We start from the raw sequence: 19,661 nt of genomic DNA on the forward strand, positions 1-19,661 counted from the left end.
CCCATCTCTACTAAAAATACAAAAATTAGCCGGGCATGGTGGCGGGCACCTGTAGTCCCAGCTACTCAGGAGGCTGAGGCAGGAGAATCACTTGAACCCAGGAGGTGGAGGTTGCAGTGAGCCGAGATCATGCCACTGCATGGAGCCTGGGCGACAAAGTGAGACTCTGTCTCAAACAAATAAACAAACACAACAAAACAAAAACTACTAGGGCTATGATTGAAGGAGGAGACGGCTCTTGCTTTGACTGTTCCTCCTTATTCAGCAGAAGTTCCGGGTTTTCACAGGGAGGCTCTTAGGGCAGAGGGATGGTGATGGGGAGCACTTAAATAAAACCCCTGCTGTTCATTTAGACTCAGGGCCATTTTCGTTTGTTTGTTTGTTTGTTTTTGAGACGGAGTCTGGCTCTATCACCCAGGCTGGAGTGCAGTGGCACGATCTCGGCTCACTGCAACCTCCATCCCCCAGGTTCAAGTGATTCTCCTGCCTCAGCCTCCCAAGTAGCTGGGACTACAGGTGCCCGCCACCATGCCCGGCTAATTTTTTGTATTTTTAGTAGAGGCGAGGTTTCACCATGTTAGCCAGGATGGTCTTGATCTCCTGACCTCCTGATCAACCTGCCTCTGCCTCCCAAAGTGATGGGATTACAGGCGTGAGCCACTGCGTCCAGCTGACTCAGGGCTGTTTTGCTGCTCCACCTGCTGGTATTAGGTGGCTCCTAGGTCACTCCCCTTGTGATAGGACAAAAATGGTCAAGGAGAAGCTGGGCAGATTTCTCCCACCCTGGCCCACTAGAGCCCCATAATTTCTCCGCCATCTCACCTCCTTCTTAAGACTGATTCAGGGCCAGGCACCATGGCTCATGCCTGTAACTCCAGCACTTTGGAAGGCCAAGGCGAGTGGATTCCTTGAGCTCAGGAGTTCGAGACCAACCTGGGTAACATGGAGAAACAAACCTCGTCTCTACAAAAAATACAAAAATTAGCTGGCGGTGGTGGCACATGCCTGTAGTCCCAGCTACTGGAGGGGCTGAGATGGGAGGATCACTTGAGCCCAGGAGGTCAAGGCTGCAATGGGCCGTGATTGAACCACTTGTCTCAAAACAAAAAAAAAGACTAATCATCCCATATTGGGAAAGTGGCTAAGTTGAGGTGGGTTTGGAAGAGGAGAGTTTTTCTGGTGGGAGATAGAGATTGAAATGAATCGCACAGAGTTGCTTTAGGAAGGAAGAAAAGAGAAAGGAAAGGGGATTTTTATTAGTGTGGCTTTGACTATGTATATGTATATGAATCATTTTAAAATCTTTTGACTTTAAAGGAAATGGCTTTTTAATTACCTTAGGCAATTAATTTTTTTTTTTTTTGACAGGGTTTCACTCTATTGCCCAGGCTGGAGTGCAGTGGTGGGATATCGGCTCACTGCAGCCTCAACCTCCCTGGCTCAAGCGATCCTCCCACCCCAGCCCCCTGAGTAGCTGGGACTGTAGGCGTGCACCACAGTAATTGTATTTTTTGTAGAGAGATGGGATTTCACCATGTTGTCCAGGCTGGTCTTGAATTCCTGGGCTCAAGCAATCCTCTCACCTTGGCCTCCCAAAATGCTAGGATTACAGGTGTGAGCCACCACACCCAGTCAAGTTGTATATCTTGAATCAGATACTATTCTGAGACTGAAGCGTGTGGGACTGAGCTTTATTAGGGTGACACCCTTATTAATGAAGACTCCTCATGGGGCTGGAAAACCAACACCTTGGTGTCTTGGCTCCTGGACAGCTGGGCCACCCACTGCCATGGCCATGCCCTGGACCCTGTCATCACCCGAAACTGCTCCACCTCTCAAATTACAATTCAGATGCCCATTCTCTGACGACAGTCTCCTCCACCACACCTCTTCTTTGACCCCATTGGGACTTCCAACCCGTAGCTCCCAGTTCTTCTGCCCAAGCATCTTTTTCCTTTTCTCTTGGTAATGGTACCCACTTTTCCTTTGAGGAAAATCCAGTTTCCCCCCATATGGATAATCAGATTCAGCTGAGGCTGACTCCATTCTCCCCAACTAGAGGCACAGACCATGACCCACATCTGGTCACCCATCCTATGTTAGTCCTTTGGCCTCAGCCATTGGTCAAGCATGGGCATGCGACTCTAGCCAGTGTAGGGAGAACAAGCCCCAGGACTATTGCTAAGACTTCAAAGAAGGAGATGTTTTCTTTCTGTTCAGGTGGCTCGACTGGAAGGACATAGCCTGGACTTGCTGGGAGCTGTCCTCAGTGGGGAGCTGTCCTCAGTGGGGAGCCTGCAGGAGAATGAGAAAATCTGAGCAAAGAGATAAAGAGACCAATTCCTAATGATCTTGTTGGAGTATCTGAAAGTAGCCATTCCTGAATCTACTCTGGATTTTTCAGGTTCTGTATGTGAGTCAGTATTTGAGATCTGTGAATCAGAGTTGGTTCACATCACTTGAAACAGACTTGACTTCTGTTTTGTTTTGTTTTGTTTTTGAGACGGAGTTTTGCTCTTATTGCCCAGGCTGGAGTGCAATGGCACGATCTTGGCTCACTGCAAACTCCACCTCCAGAATTCAAGCGATTCTCCTGCTTCAGCCTCCCCAGTAGCTGGGATTACAGGTGCGTGCCACCACACCCCGCTAATTTTTGTATTTTTAGTAGAGACAGCATTTCGCCATATTGGCCAGGCTGGTCTCAAACTCCTGACCTCAGGTGATCCACCCACCTCGGCCTCCCAAAGTGCTGGGATTACAGGCATGAGCCACTGCGCCTGGCCAGACTTGACTTTTCTTTCTTTTTTTTTGTTTTTCTTTTTTTTTTTTTTTTTTTTTGAGATGAAGTCTCGCTCTTGTGCCCCAGGCTGGAGTGCAGTGGTGCGATCTCGGCTCACTGCAACCTCCGCCTCCTAGCTTCAAGCGATTCTCCTGCCTCAGCTTCCCAAGTAGCTGGTATTACAGGCATGCACCACCACACCCAGCTAATTTTTGTATTTTTAGTAGAGATGGGGTTTCACCATGTTGGCCAGTTTGGTCTCAAACTCCTGACCTCAGGGGATCCGCCCGCCTCAGCTTCCCAAAGTGCTGGGATTACAGGTGTGAGCCACCGTGCCCGGCCACAGACTTAACTTTTTTTTTTCTTTTGAGATGGGGTTTCGCTCTTCTTGCCCAGGCTGGAGTGCAATGGCGCGGTCTCGGCTCACCGCAACCTCCGCCTCCCAGGTTCAAGCGATTCTCCTGCCTCAGCCTCCCTTGTAGCTGGGATTACAGGCATGTGCCACCATGCCCGGCTAATTTTGTATTTTTAGTAGAGACGGGGTTTCTCCATATTCGTCAGGCTGGTCTCGAACTCCTGACCTCAGGTGATCCACCCGCCCTGGCCTCCCAAAGTGCTGGGATTACAGGCATGAGCCACTGCGCCCGGCCCAGACTTGACTTTCATAGTGTCTCTCCAGCAGGCTCTAGAGCAGGAGTCTCTCTAAATGTGGTTGTCCATCGGAATTATTTGGGGCTGGGCAAGGTGTCTCACTTCTATAATCCCAGCACTTTGGGATGCTGAGGTGGATGGATCACTTGAGCTCACAAGTTTGACACCATCCTTGGCAACAGGTGAAACCCTGCCTCTACAAAAAATACAAAATTAGCCAGGCATGGTGGTGCGCACCTGTAGTCTCAGGTACTCAGGAGACTGAGGTGAGAGGATCACTTAAGCCCAGGAGGCAGAGGTTACAGTGAGCTGAGATAATACCACTGTACTCCAGCCTGGGCAACAGAGCCAGACCTTGTCACAAAAAAAATAAATAAATAAAAGAAAAAAATTACAGGGAAGATTTCTTTTTTATTAAAACCTTTATGTGAAGTAAAACATACTTATTGCAGAGAAGTGCATAAAACATAAATGTACAAGTTAATGCATTACTATGAAGCCAACTCCTTTGTAACCTCAACTAGGTCAAGAAATAGATATTGTCAGGTGCCAAAAGCCTCATCCTTTTCCTCACCTTCAAAGGCACCACCACCCTGATTTCTATGGGTATGTGGATTAGTTTTGCCTGCTTTGGAGTGTTATATAAATGGAATTATACATTAATTTTTAAAATTTATTTTTAATTTTTATTGCCTTAATTAATTTTTAAACATTTTATTATTATTTTTTAGAGACAGGGTCTCACTCTGTTGTCCAGGCTGGAGTGCAGCGGCACGATCATAACTCGCTGCAGTCTCAAATTCCTGGACTCAAGTGATCCTACTGCCTCAGCCTCCCAAGTACCTAGGACTACAGGTGCCAGCCATACACCTGGCTACTCCCTATTATTTTTTATTTTACTTTTATTTATTTACTTATTTTGAGACAGAGTTTTGATCTTGTTGCCCAGGCTGGAGTGCAATGGCGTGATCTTGGCTCACCGCAACCTCCGCCTCCCAGGTTCAAGTGATCTTTCCGCCTCAGCTTCCTAAGTAGCTGGGATTACAGGTCTGTGCCAACACGCCCAGCTAATTTTGTATTTTTAGTAGAGACGGGGTTTCTCCATGTTGGTCAGGCTGGTCTCGAACTCCTGACCTCAGATGATCTGCCTGCCTTGGCCTCCCAAAGTATTGGGATTACAGGCATGAGCCACCGCGCCCGGCCTATTTTATTTATTTATTATTTATTTATATTACTTTTTGAGACAGTGTTTCACTCAGTCACCCAGGCTGGAGTGCAGTGGTATGATCATGGCTCACTGCAGCCTCAACCTCTCAGGCTCAAGTGATCCTCCCATCTCAGCCTCCTGAGTAACTGGGACCACAGGTGTGTGCCCAGCTGATTTTTTGAACTTTTTTAGAGACAGGGTTTCCCTATGTGGCCCAGGCTGGTCTCAAACTCCTAGACTCAAGTAATCCTCCTGCCTTGGGTTCCCAAGATGCTGGGATTACAGGTGTTAGCCCCTACACCTAACCCTATATTATTTTTTATAAGCTTTATTCTTTTGCTTTTCGTATTGAAGACTATAGCCCACCTGGAATTTATCTGTTGATGGTGTGAGGTAAGGGTCAGGTTTCATTTTTTTCCCCATAGGAGCACACTCAGTTGATTTACTGAAAAGTTTACTCTTTCCCTGTGTGTGTGCTTTTTTGTTTTTTGTTTTTTGTTTGTTTGTTTGTTTTAAGACAGGCTCTTGCTTTGTAACCCAGGCTGGAGTACAGTGGTGTGATCTTGGCTCACTGCAACCTCCACCTCTCGGGTTCAAGCGATTCTCCTGCCTCAGCCACCTGAGTAGCTGGGATTATAGGCGTGCACCACCACACCTAGCTAATTTTTGTAATTTTAGTAGAGACAGGGTTTTACCATGTTGTCCAGGCTGTCTCAAACTCCTGACTTCAGGTGATCCACCCGCTTCGGCTCCCAAAGTGCTGGGATTACAGGTGTAAGCCACCGCACCTGGCCTTCTGTAGTGTTCTTTGCAAATATTTTGTTACATTCATTCCTGTGTAATCGATTTATCATTTGATGCTATTCAAGAAGCTTATTTAAAGCCCAGGTTCTTGGCCAGGTGCGGTGGCTGACACCTGTAATCCAGCACTTTGGGAGGCTGAGGTGTGTGGATCACCTGAGGTCAGGAGTTCGAGACCAGCCCAGCCAACATGGTGAAACCCCGTCTCTACTAAAAGTACAAAAATTAACCGGGCATGGTGCTGCGTGCCTGTAATCCCAGCTACCTGGGGGGCTGAGGCAAGAGAATCACTGGAACCCAGGAGGCTGAGGCTGCAGTGAGCCGAGATTGAACCACCGCACTTCAGCTTGGGCGACAGAGCAAGACTCCATCTAAAAATAATAATAATAATAATAATAATAATAATAAAACCAAGGTTCTGACTGGGCATGGTGGCTCATGCCTGTAATCCCAGCACTTTGGGAGGCTGAGGCAGGCAGATCACCTAAGGCCAGGAGTTCAAGACCAGCCTGGCCAACATGGTAAAACCTCATCTCTACAAAAATACAAAAATTAGCCAGGCATGGTGGCAGGTGCCTGTAATCCCAGCTACAAGGAAGGCTGAGGCAGGAGAATCACTTGAACCTGGGAGGTGGAGGTTGCAGTGAGTTGAGATCACGCCACTGCACTCCAGCCTGAGCGACAGAGCAAGACTCTGTTTCAAAATACATAAATAAATAAAATAAAGCCCAGGTTCTCTGGCTCAACATTTGGAGAGTCTAAGTGAGTAGTTCTGGAGTGAGCCCAGATGGGAATTTTGAAAAAGCTCCTGGTGGTTCTGATGTGCAGATCCCATCCTGTCTTGCTGCACTCATTATCTCTTTTCAATCCCCTTCAGTCCCCCTCCCTCCCAGCTGGCCCACGCCCATAAGCCTGTGAACATGCTTAGTCTCCGTGTCTTAGAATAAACCTCCCCAAACCCCTCCAGGTCCTGGCATCGCCTTTTTCTCCCATTAATAGCCATACTTTTAAGGGTTGACCACACCTGTGCTTTCATATTTTTATACTCCTTATAAAACCATGCAGCCCTTCACACAGTTTAAAATTGACATCTAATTCAAACCATCCTTACCCACACCTACTCCCCCCTCTGGTCTACCAGGCAGTCTCTCTTCTTCTACCAGCTTATACCCCTCCAGCCTCTGCAAAACAGTTGTGTGTGTGTGTGCGTGTGTGTGTGTCTTTTGTTTTGTTTTTAGAGATAAGGTTTTGTTCTGTCGCCCAGGCTGGAGGACAGAGGTGTGATCATAGCTCGTTGCAGCCTCAATCCCCTGGGATCAAGCGATCCTCCTACCTCAGCCTCTCGAGTAGCTGGGAATACAGGTGTATGCCACCATGCCTGGATAATTTTTAATTTTTTAATTTTAGATTTTTTTGTAGAGAAGGGGTCTAGCTATGTTGCCCAGGCTGGCCTCAAACTCCTGGCCTCAAGCAATCCTCCCACCTCCACCTTCCAAAGTGCTAGGATTATAGGCGTGAGCCACCATTCCTGGCCTGAATGATCTATTTCCATCCCTGGATTATTTCTCTTTTTCTTATTGGTGTGTAGGAGCTCTTTGTAATAATATAGATATTAACTTATCTGTCACATGGATTTCAAATGTCTTCCCATTTTATTATTCCCTTTGACTTTGATGAAGGTATCTTTTGCTATATACAGTTTTAAATGTTTATGTAATTTTATATGTGTATCTCTTCTCCTATAGCTCTGGTTTTCTGGTCTTAGTTTGAAATATTTTATATACTCTGGCCGGGCACAGTGGCTCACCCCTGTAATCCCAGCACTTTGAAAGGCTGAGGTGGGTGGATCACCTCAGGTCAGGAGTTTGAGACCAGCCTGACCAACATGGCGAAACCCTGTCTCTACTAAAAATACAGAAATTAGCTGGGCATGGTGGTGGGCGCCTGTAATCCCAGCTACTCGGGAGCCTGAGACAGGTGGATCGCTTGAACCCGGGAGGCGGAGGTTGCAGTAAGCTGAGATGTGCCATTGCACTCCAGCCTGGGCAACAGAGAGAGGCTCTATCTCAAAAAATTATATATATTTTATATACTCTGAATATTGTTTACATTTATATGTTTAAAGCATTTGAAATTTATTTTCACGATTTTGGTGAGAAGTAGGGATTCCACCTCATTTTCCTCCTAGTGGGACAGCAAGTTGGGTCAACATCACTTATTAAAGAAAGTATCGGGCTGAGTGTGATGGCCCACCCCTGTAGTCCCAGCACTTTGGGATGCTGAGGTGGACAAACTGCTTGAGCCCAGGAGTTTGAGACCAGCCTGGCGATATAGTGAGACCTCGTTTCTACAAACAATATAAGCATTAGCAGGGTGTAGTGGCACACACCTGTAGTCCCAGCTACTTGGAAGCTGACGATCGCTTGAGCTGAGAAGGCCAAGGGTAGAGTGAGCCATGATTGTGCCACTGCACTCCAGCCTTGGCAACAGAGGATGATGCCCTGTCTGAAAGAAAAGAAAATCGCAAATAAATAAAGTATCATCCTTCCTCACAGAATTAAAATTCAACCATTGTTTTTTGTTGTTATTTAGACACACGGTCTCGCTCTGCCACTCAGGCTGCTGGAGTACAGTGGCCTGACCATAGCTCACTGCAAACTTGAACTTCTGCCTCAAGCGATCCACCCGCCTCAACCTCCCAAAGCACTGGGATTACAGGCGTGAGCCACTGTGCCTGGCTTCCACCATTGTTATATATTACATCAACTGTCTGTTGGGATCTGTTCCTCTTCTGTTTCACTGACATTTTCATCATTTTCTTGACCATTCTTAGAAAGGTGTTGGCAGGGATCAGAGTCTGAAAACTTTGTCTCTCCTCGTACCCTTGGCCAGACAGGAATCTGTGCTGAAGGTGGTAGCCAAGATTAGAGTGTGCTCCTGGCAAGACCCCCTCCTCCTGCCTGTATGGGGTTGTTTTTGCATTGCATGATCACATGCACGCCTCTGCACTCTGCTTTTCTCCCTCACAACCTTGGCAGCCCCTCAGCCCCACCACCACTCTGCTGCAGACACGGGACTAATCTCATTACTGTCTTTATCCCTGTTCACATCGCCCATCACAAGAAGCCCAGATCCCTGCTCAGCCCTCCTCCCTGCATCTAATCCCCATCTGGCTCTGCTTCCCTTCTCCCCACCCCCAGCTACTGAAACTCTCTGCCAAGTCCCCGGAACTCAGGCACGGGAGGTCTTCTTTGAACTCTTCCTTCGCCTTCTGGCTCTTCTGACACTGCTTCCCCTACTGTGAGCCCAGGTGGTGACTGTTTTCCCTCCCTCCCTCCCTCCCCTGCCACTGGGCCGGCAGATGGGGGCCCTCCTTGCTCCACTTGCAGAACATGAGCTTCCCCCTCTTCCCCCAAACCCCCAGCTTTCAATCTCATGTTATTTGACAGTACCATTGCTGCAGACATTCCACGACTAAATTCTTCAAGGAATGAGATGACTCCTCATTCCTTGAAGAGTTTAGGCCAAGGGAGGTGGCACACGCCTGTAATCCCAGCACTTTGGGAGGCTGACCCCAGGAGGTCATGACCCGCCTGGGGAAAATAGTGAGATTCCATTCTACAGAAAACAATAAAAATGAAAAAAATAACCAGGCATGGTGGCATGTGCCTGTGGTCTCAGCTACTCAGGAGGCTAAGGTGGGAGGATCGCTTGAGCCCAGGAGGTCAAGGTTGCAGTAAGCCATGATTGCACCACTGCACTCCAGCCTGGGAGACAGAGTGGATCCCATCTCAAGAAAAAGAAAAGAAAAAGAGTTTAGCAGCAAATTCACTGTCCTCTCTAACACTGCTCTTGAGGTTCAGTTCATTCGGTGTCCATGCAGGTGAGCCTTCCTACCCCAGCCTCTCAGTCCCTCCACGCATGGCCTCACCTTGCCCTGACCTCAGCACTGTCCCTCAGGATCAGACCTGGACAGGCCTCTCACCCTTGGGACTGCTAGGTGCTGCTTCCACCTGCGATCCAAGCTGCAGGTGCCCTTCCCTCTTCCCTCCCCACGATTTCTTCCTCTCCATTACTTTGGGCACCCCCTTTCAGCCATTTTATAGTTTGGGGTTTTGGCGATCTCCTACTTTTATTAAAGATAGGCTTTTTGTTACTGTACAGGATTCACCAATATGAGATCACTTGACGGGGACTTGAGCTGACATGAGCATCTATCTATTTCTGTAAAACTCAGCGGCATAAAACAGCCACCGTTTTATTTGCTCGTGATTCTGTGGGTCAGCTGTTTGGCATGGCTCTGTGGGCAAGTCTTCCGCTGGTCTCCTCTGCAGTCACTCATGCAGTGGCAGTCATCTTGTGGCTTGACTGGGGCTGGATGCATGACCCAAGATAGTTAGCCTGATTGTCTCTCCATGGGGCCTTTTGTCCTTCAGGAGTTCACCCCAGACTCCTTCCCTGGTAGTCTCAGGGCAGAGAGAGGGAAGTTGCAAGGCTCTGGAGAGCTGGCTCAGAACACCCACAGAGTGGCTGGGTGTGGTGGCTCACGCCTCTAATCCCAGAACTTTGGGAGGCCGAGGCAGGTGGATCATCTCAGGTCAAGTGTTCAACACCAGCCGGACTGATTGGTGAAACCCTGACTCTACTAAAAATACAAAAAAACTAGCTGGGCGTGGTGGGCTATTACAGCCGAGCATGTTTATGTAATCCTAGCTACTTAGGAGGCTGAGGCAGGAGAATCACTTGAGCCCAGGAGGCAGAGGTTGCAGTGAGCCGAGATTGTGCTATTGCACTCCAGCCTGGGCGACAAGAGTGAAAATCCGTCTCAAAAAAACAAAAACAAAAACAAAAACAAAAAGCAAAAACACCCACAAAGTCACTGCTGCCACATTCTGTTGGTCCCAGCTGTCCAGCCCAAGGCCAACCCTGATTTAAGTGGGTGGAGAAGTAGACCCCGCCTCTTGAGGGGAGTTGCAGTCAAGTCACGTCGCACAGGTGCATGCATACAGAGAGGAGAGGGATTTGTGGCCATTTTATTTTACAATCTATCAGTTTGTTAGCTTGTGCAGTTGAGGAGTTAGAAGTTTGCTTCATTGATTGACTATAATTTAGACTTAATAATGGCCTCCATTCAGTGAACTTGAGGTACTAGCAGTTCCCTGAATTAATGTAGAAAAAGGACTCCAAAAATGCAGGAAGAGAGAAATATGTTGTGGATTTATCACATGTGACCTGCATGTCACCTCCCCATTGCATCCCCTGGGATGCCTCAGAGGGACACCCAACCTTATAGCATTAGAAATATGTTAGTAAGGGGCGTACTGATATCCACATGAAGCTCTGTGCTGGCTGCAGCCGGGCATGGTAGCTCATGCCTATAATCCCAGCACTTTGGGACACCAACGCAGCCGGATCATCTGAGGTTAGGAGTTCGAAACCAGCCTGGACAACATGATGAAACCCCGTCTCTACTAAAAACATACAAAAATTAGCTGGGTGTGGTGGAGGGCACCTGTAATCCCAGCTACTTGGGAGGCTGAGGCAGGAGAATCACTTGAACCTAGGAGGTGGAGGTTGCAGTGAGCCAAGATCGAGCCACTACACTCCAGCCTGGGCAACAGAGTGAGACCCTGTCTCAAAGAAAAAAAAAAGAAAAAGCCCTGTGCTGGCCAGGTGTAATCTGGGGAGACCCACTATTGAGATGGGTTCCCACATTTCTTTCTTTTTTTTTTTTTTTTGAGACGGAGTTTTGCTCTTGCTGCCTAGGCTGGAGTGCAATGGCACAATCTCGGCTCACCGCAACCTCCGCCTCCCGGATTCAAGTAATTCTCCTGCCTCAGCCTCCCAAGTAGCTGGGATTATAGGCATGCGCCACCACGCCTGGCTAATTTTGTATTTTTAATAGAGACGGGATTTCTCCATGTTGGTCAGGCTGGTCTCAAACTCCCAACCTCAGGTGATCCGCCCACCTCAGCCTCCCAAAGTGCTGGGAATACAGGCTGAGCCACCGCTCCCGGCCAGGGCTCCCACATTTCTATAGGAAAGCTGGAGTTCTGAAGTAGCAAAGGCCAAGTGTCCACATTTAGTCCCCAAAGACAGACATGTTGGACATTGGAGGATGGTAATCAGGATGGTTTGACCTGTACAGATTTGATGGTGGCTAATTAATCCTAGTGTCCCTAGGAATAAAATAGATGGGCAACCTACTAAAATATCACTTGATCTATAGAACAGAAAAATCCCAGGTCTGGTGGCCAGCAATCTGACTTTGTTTCAGAATAATAGTCACAGCCTCTCACCCAGGTTTTGGACCTAAGGCAGTTCATGGGCCCAGAGCCCCTGAACTGAATCATGGCCAGGGTCCCTTTGAGATAAAATCTTGCAAAATTTCATGTGCATGTACTATAAATCTTCTCCAAAGCCTTCCTCAAAGGACCCCGCAGCCACTTACTAAGGTAACTGTATCCTGGGAAAAGGAACATTCTCAGACTTTTTGGAGATGACTAGATTCTGGCTTTGAGTTGTCATTGATTTCTGGAAACCATACAAAATAGTAGGGGCATATAGGGCTCAGATGATAAATGCGATTTTGGCTAAAGTCAAAAGCACAGGGAGTCAAGTAGGAACACAGACCCATTCTGTGGTTATTTCCTTAGTTCTCGAATGGGTACTTGGCAAGTGGCAATTGAATCCTCACACTGGGCTGGGTGCAGTGGCTCACACCATAATCCCAGCACTTTGGGAGGCTGAGGCAGGAGGATCACCTGAGGTTAGGAGTTCAAGACCAGCCTGGCCAACATTGCAAAATCCTGTCTCTACTAAAAATACAAAGAAAAAAAAATTAGCTGGGTGTGGTGGTGGGCCCTTGGAATCCCAGCTACTTGGGAGACTGAGGCAGGAGAATCACTTGAACCTGAGAGGTAGAAGTTGCAGTGAGCCGAGATGACACCACTGCACTTTAGCGTAGGTGACAGAGTAAGACTCCATCTCAGAAAACAAACAAACAGCCGGGTGCAGTGGCTTATGCCTGCAATCCTAGCACTTTGGGAAGCCGAGGCGTGTGGATTACCTGAGGTCGGGAGTTCAAGACCAGCCTGGCCAACATGGTGAAACCCCGTCTCTGCTAAAAATACAAAAAATTAGCCGGGTGCAGTGGTGCGCACCTGTAATCCCAGCTACTCTGGAGGCTGAGGCAGGAGAATCGCTTGAACCCGGGAAGTGGAGGTTGCGGTGAGCCGAGATCATGCCACTGCACTCCAGCCTGGGCTACAGAGCAAAACTTCGTCTCAAAAAAAAAGAAAAAAAAAAAAAAGAAGAAGAAGAAAAGAAAAGAAAAGAAATAAAAAAACAAACCTGAATCCCTGAATCCTCATGTTGGCTCTCAGAACCGTTGAATAAAGGCTGTTGTGGTATGAAGGATCACAAGAAAGGAGCCAAGAGCTTTCTCTCTCTCTCTGGATGGTAAACTAAAAGTAATGCTGCATGCTGGGGAAACTTCAGGGACGAGGCTACCTGTCAGACCCTCATTTTTGTTTTTTGTTTTTTGAGACGGGGTCTCACCCTGCTGCCCAAGCTGGAGTGCAGTGGCATGATCATAGCTCACTGAAGCCTTGAACTTGTAGGTTCAAGCCACCCTCCCACCTCAGCCTCTTGAGTACTGGGACTACAAGCGCATGCCACCATGCTCAGCTAATTTTTGTACGTGTGTACAAACAGGGTTCTTGCTATGTTGCCCAGGCTGGTCTCGAACTCCTGGACTTGTGATTCTCCCATCTTGGCCTCCCGAAGTGCTGGGATAAAGACCTGCCACACCTGGCCTCACACCCGGCCTCATGCCCTCATTTATCTCATTTGTTTGGCTTGTGCAGAAGGCAGAAGGCTTTTAGAGAATTTCTGTTATTTATTGTAAACATAATCAGATAGTGACTCCAGCTGTAGCTGCTGTACCAGATGTGATATCTTTTTGGAGCAAATCAGCATATTCCCTGGTCCCCTGATACACCACTCTTGATCTGGCAAATGATTTTTTTCTCAATAACAATTTGCAAAAACTAACAAAAGCCTTCTAATTTCATCTGATAGGCCCAACAGTATACCTTTGCAGTCTTGCCTCAAGGTTGATAACCCTCTTGTTCGCCCATAATCTAGTCTGCAGAGGTTTTAATCATTTTACTGTCTCACAGAACATCATTGCATGAATGATACTGTTTTCTTTGGACCTGATGAGCAGGTAGTGGCAAGGACTTTAGATTCCTTAGTAAGGCCTAAGCAAGTCAGAGGGTGGAGATAAAGCTGGCCTGTCCTAATTAACACAACATTCTAGAACCACACATTCATCATGATTGGGGGTAGAGTGTTCTGCTGATTTCAGTGGTGGGCCAGAGGAGCCACTTTGGCTTAGAGCAGGACTCAGCAAAGTATAGCCCTGGGGCCAAATTTGGCCTGCCATCTCTTTCTTTCTTTCTCTTAATTTAAATTGTATTTTTTGAATCGGTATTATATGCAAATGGTACAACATGCAAAAGATAAAAATGAATATACAGTTGAAAGTAACTCTCCCTCTTCCTAACTTCCAACTATCCAGTTTCCTTCCTCAGCTGCATCCACTCTTGCTGGATTCCTATGCTGCAGGAGATGGTGAGATTCTAATCATAGAATTTTGTTTATTGCCTACTCCAACGTCATGAAGATTTACTCCTGTGTTTTCTTCTAATAGGTTCATAGTTTTGGTTCTCACGTCTAGGTCTTTGACTTATTTTGACCTAACTTTTGTATGAGGTAGGGGCCCAACTTCATTCTTTTGGCACACAGATATCCAGTTATCCTAGCACTGTTAGTTGAAGACTGTTTTCCTCATTGAATGGTCTTGGCGCCCTTGTCAAAAATCAGTTGACCATAGATATATGGGTTTATTTCTGGATTCAGTTCTATTTGATCTATATGTTTATCCTTATGTCAGTACCACACAGTTTTGATTATTGGAGCTTTGTAGTAAGTTTTGAAAGCAGAAGTATGAGTCTTCCAACTTTGTTCTTTTTCATGAAGACTTTGGCTGTTCAGGGTCTCTTGGATTTCCATATGAATTTAATTTTATTCTTTTTGTGTGTGTGTGACAGAGTCTTGTTCTGTTGTCTAGGCTGGAGTGCAGTGGCATGTTCTCAGCTCACTACAACCTCTGCCTCCAGGGCTTAAGGAATTCTCGTGCCTCAGCCTCCCGAGTAGCTGAGATTATAGGCATGTACCACCACGCCCAGCTAATTTTTGTATTTTTAGTAGAGACAGAGTTTCATCATGTTGGCCAGGCTGGTCTCAAACTCCTAACTGCAAGTGATCTGCCTGCCTCGGCCTCCCAAAGTGCTGGGATTACAGGCATGAGCCACCGTGCCTGGCCTCCATATGAATTTTAGAATCAGCTTGTCCATTTTCACACATATAAAAAAGCAGGTGGAATTCTGATAATGATTATATTGAGTTGTAGAGTGATTTGGGGAGTATTGAAGTCTTAACAATATTAAGTCTTCCAATTCATGAACACAAAATTTTTCCATTTATTTAGGTCTTTTTATTCATTTATTTGTCTTTCTATTTATTTAGATCTGTAATTTTTTGGATAATGCTTTGTAATTTTCAGTGTACCTGTCTTGCACTTCTTTTGTTAAACTTACTCCTAAGTATTTTATCTTTTTTGATGCTATAGTGAATGAAACTGTTCTTAAAATTTTATTTTCATTCATATTGTCCATTGCTAATGTGTAAACATACAACCTTTTTTTCTTTTTAAGAGACAGAATCTTGCTATGTTGCCCAGGCTGGCCTCAAACTCCTGGGCTCAAGCAATTCTCTTGCCTCAGCCTCCCTGGTAGCTGGGACTACTCACATAAACCATGCCCAGGTAAAATACAGCCAATTTTTGTATATTTATCTTGTATCCTGCAACTTTGCTGAACTCTTTTATTAGCTTTAATTTTTTTGTGTGACAGATGCCTGATTTTTATAGACACATGGCTCCTCATAGTATAGACCATACTTCCAGTTTCCCTTGCAGCTTGATATTGCCAAAGGGTTAAGTTCTGGCCGATGATTATGAATGAAAGTAATGTGTGCAACTTTTTTTTTTTTTTTTTGAGACCAAGTCTCACTCTATCACCCAGGCTGGAGTGCAGTGGCGCAATCTCGGCTCGCTGCAACCTCCACCTTTTGGGTTCAAGCGATTCTCCTGCCTCAGCCTCCCGAGTAGCTGGGATTACAGGTGCCTGCCACCATGCCTGGCTAATTTTTTGTGTTTTTAGTAGAGACGGGGTTTCACCATGTTGTCCAGGCTGGTCTCGAACTCCTGACCTCAGGTGATCCACCAGCCTCAGCCTCCCAAAGTGTTAGGATTACAGGCATGAGCCACCACGCCTGGCCTAATGTGTGCAGCTTTAAGTTGTGCTGGCCCATCTCTTCTTTCCTGTTCCTTTTGACTGGAATGCTGTCAGCCATCTTGGCCTGTCTTGCAAAAATCTGCCATCTGTTTTTGTAGAGTTTTCCTGAAATATAGTAGGATTTCATAATCTTGTCTTTCTGGAATTGGTTTTACAGTCGCTGGTGTTAGAAGCATTGCCATCTTTGGTTTTACTTACATTAATTTCTGTCCCAGGCTGGCAGCTTGCTGCTTCTGTCCAACAAGTGTTCTTTTGGTAGCAACAGCAACACACATATTGTCATGGACTCACTGATCATGAAGAACAATCAGTTTCATTAGACTTATCTCTCTCTCTCTGTCCCTTCTGTAATTTTCCTTCCTGTTCTGGAACACTTTGCTTAGTTTTTTGCTTCCTCTGCAGCTAAGAGCTCCTGCCTGCTCCACTCTGTCCTCTTATTCATTCTCTCTTGAGTCGGTGCCTCGTGCAGAGCCCCTCCTCTGCTGATGCAGTATTTAAGGGTCTCTGTGGCAAGGTTCTACACTCCTTCTCCACTGCCATGGTGGCCAAATGCTTTGTGTGTGATGTCTGCTCTTGTCCAGCTCACACCTCACCACTCAGTTTGCATTCGAAATGGCCTCTTTTTCAAGTACAGTGTTTCTTTTTTTATTTTTATTTTTTAATTATTTATTTATTTTTTTTGAGACAGAGTCTCACACTGGCTCCCAGGCTGGAGTGCAGTGGCGCGATCTCAGCTCACTGCAACTTCTGCCTTTTGGGTTCAAGCGATTCTCCTGCCTCAGCCTCCCGAGTAGCTGGGATTATAGGCACCTGCCACCATGCCTGGCTAATTTTTGTATTCTTAGTAGAGATGGGGTTTCACCATGTTGGCCAGGCTGGTCTATGAACTCCCGACCTCAGGTGATCTGCCTGCCTCGGCCTCCCAAAGTGCTGGGATTACAGGCGTGAGCCACCGCGCCCGGCCAGCATAATGTTTTTAAAGATTTATCCTTGTTGTCTATATAGGAGCATTTTGTATTGCTGAGTGGTATTCCACTGGGGGGATATGCCTCAGTTTGGTTATCCATTCTCCTGTTGATGGACATTTGAGTTTTTTTCAAGTACAACTTTATTATTATTTTTATTTTTATTTGAGACAGAGTCTTGCCCTGTTGCCCAGGCTGGAGTGCAGTGGCATGATCTCGGCTCACTGCAACCTCTGCCTCCCGGGTTCAAGTGATTCTCCTGCCTCAGCCTCCCCAGTAGCTAGGATGACAGGTGCCCACCACCACACCCAGCTAATTTTTATATTTTTAGTAGAGATGGGGGTTTCACCATGTTGGCCAGGCTGGTCTTGAACCCCCGATCTCAAGTGATCCACCCGCCTTGGCCTCCCAAAGTGCTGGGATTACAGGCATGAGCCAGTGTGCCAGGCCATTTTTAATTTTTGTGTAGAGATGGGGTCTTGTTATGTTGACCAGGCTGGTCTGGAACACCTGGCCTCAAGCAATCCTCCCATCTCAGCCTCCCAAAGCGCTAGGATTACAGGTGTCTGCCACTACATCTGGCCAGCTTAAGTACAACATTTATTAACCAGTATTGTGTTCTTGAGTGATTGTTTTTTTCCTCCCTCTCCACTTTATTTCTTCCAGCTTCATCCTGGTTGCCTGTTAGAATCACCTGGGGAGCTTTTAAAATCCCAGTGATCAAGTGCCCCTCAGACCTCTTAGCCGAGGAATTCTGGGGGCGGGGCCCAGCATCAGTGTTTTTTCAAGCCCTTCCAGGTGACTTCAATGCACAGGCAGCGAGAACTCCTGCATGAAGGCTTCTGGAGAAGTAGGAAGGCTTAGAATGTCGCTCACTCATCTTTCACTTCCTGTAGCAACTGTTTCGTGCTCTTAAGTCTGGTATGTTTTGTTTTCTTGAATTTTAAGGTGTTCAGACTTAATCTTCTCTCGGCTTGGTTTTGGGGTTCATTAAGCGTTTCTCTTTTCCTTCCTAAAGCTTTACTAAATTTCTTATTATAATCTTTTCATGAAGTACTGGCTTTCCATGTCTTCTTTTTTTTTTTTTTTGGAGACAGGGTCTCACTCTGTCGCCCAGGCTGGAATGCAGTGGCGTGATCTTGGCTCACTGCAGCTTCCGCCTCCCGGGTTGGTTCAAGTGATTCTCGTGCCTCAGCCTCCGAGTAGCTGGGATTACAGGTGTGCGCCAGAAGACCCAGCTAATTTTTGTATTTTTAGTAGAGATGGGATTTTGCCATGTTGGCCAGGCTGGTCTCAAACTCCTGACCTCAAGTGATCCACCCACCTCGGCCTCCCAAAGTTCTGGGATTACAGGCGTGAGCCACTGAGCCATGCCTTCTTTACATTCTTTTCTTCCTCGGTTCCCCCAAATCAGGGGCAGATTTTCTCTCATGTTTGCTTCATATCCTTCTGATTGTAGGTAAAACAACCTCTTTGATAAATTCTCCCTCTGTAGCTTGATTTCTTCAAAATATATCATAACTTTTGCTCTTCTGCTAATAAAATGACATCTTTTACATAATTTATTTTTTAAAACATTTCTGCAGAGCCTGATGTTGAATCACTTCAGATCTTTTACTCTTTGTGGAAAAGAATGGTCCCCAAGAAGAAAATGGCAAATGCACCAATTCTCATTAGAGGCTCCCAAGGTGCCCCAGGAAAACCAGGGATTCCGAATCCAAAACAACTGCACTCTGGTTGGCTGGCAGATGGGCACCTCTTCTGTGTTGTTTCCCAGCCCTGTTCTCAAACACTGATGCCTTTCAGCTCGTGTGCAAACCACAAGCTTCTCCTGACAGGTGGAATTTCCTCAGGACTGTCCGTCTCAGGTCTTGTTCCGCCTTCTCTGGTGGCGTCCTGTCATTTCTCTTCTGGGCCCTGACCCTTGTGCTCTTATTCATGGTTGTTCAGTTCCAGTGTCCTCCGGATGTTGTTGCTTGCTCCTGCGTGGGTCTCAGGGCTGGCCAGTGACAACCTTTTCTCCCCTGCAGGTGCGTCCATGTCTGTCTGCACCTGGATGGCATCGCCTCTCCATCTCGAGGACGCCATCTGGAGGGGTGAGTTCCAGGGTCAGGGAAGGAGGGCAGGAGGGTGGAGGAGGACTGGGTAGCCTGGAGCAGGGGCCCAGGACCATGTTTAAGAGCTGGGGAGGAGGAGAGTGTGAAGCAAGAGGAGGAGGAGGGGACAGGGACGGGGACGGGGGAGGGGGAGCGGGAGGAGAGGATCTACTTGTGTCTCCAAGACTGTGTGCTGTTATTATCTGGTTCTAGCCGTCAGGCAAGTCTTTACTGGATTACCTCCTGCCTGAACTATTCCCTCCCTCTTTTTTCACCCGCAGGGCAGGGCAGGGTGGCTGATCCCCTGCAGGCCCCAGCCCTGTGACTCAGCCACCAAAGCCCAATCTCCAGCCCAAGGGAACCAAGGGTATCTTCTTCATCATCCTTCCAGTCCTCTTCCCCTTCGCCGGGCTCCAGCCTCAGCTTGGCCCTCACCTCCACTCCTCTCCCCTCTCACCCCTGCCCCCATTCCACTTCATCTCCCTCCCTCACCTTAGGGCACCTCTGCCTGCTCCTTATGCTGGAGTTGATTTTCTACAATCTCAACTCAGCCAAGAGATCTCATCACCTAAAAAAGTGATGTGAACCTTAAGATCACATATGTCATATGGGGGTGAAGGTGGGGGTGGGAGGCACTAAGGGCAGGGCAGCAGGTGGGTCAGCCCCAGGTGCTGGCAATAGATGGGGGTCCAGGTCAGCAGAGAACCTAAAAACAATAAAGCAACTGATTAGCCCGTC

At 47.1% G+C, this 19,661-nt stretch overlaps 1 long non-coding RNA gene across 2 annotated transcripts; it reads left to right on the forward strand.

The window, feature by feature from the left end:
* Window positions 1–17,633: 17,633 nt before the first annotated feature.
* Window positions 17,634–19,661, forward strand: LINC03135 (long intergenic non-protein coding RNA 3135). Of its 2 annotated transcripts, none has more exons than NR_187689.1 (3): window positions 17,634–17,748; window positions 18,858–18,923; window positions 19,205–19,661. It is a non-coding gene; the product is annotated as a long intergenic non-protein coding RNA 3135 (long non-coding RNA). The 2 variants fall into 2 exon arrangements; NR_187690.1 differs by lacking the exon at window positions 17,634–17,748 and adding an exon at window positions 18,615–18,665.

Source organism: Homo sapiens, chromosome 6 (genome assembly GCF_000001405.40).
Source record: "Homo sapiens chromosome 6, GRCh38.p14 Primary Assembly".
Taxonomy (NCBI): domain Eukaryota; kingdom Metazoa; phylum Chordata; class Mammalia; order Primates; family Hominidae; genus Homo; species Homo sapiens.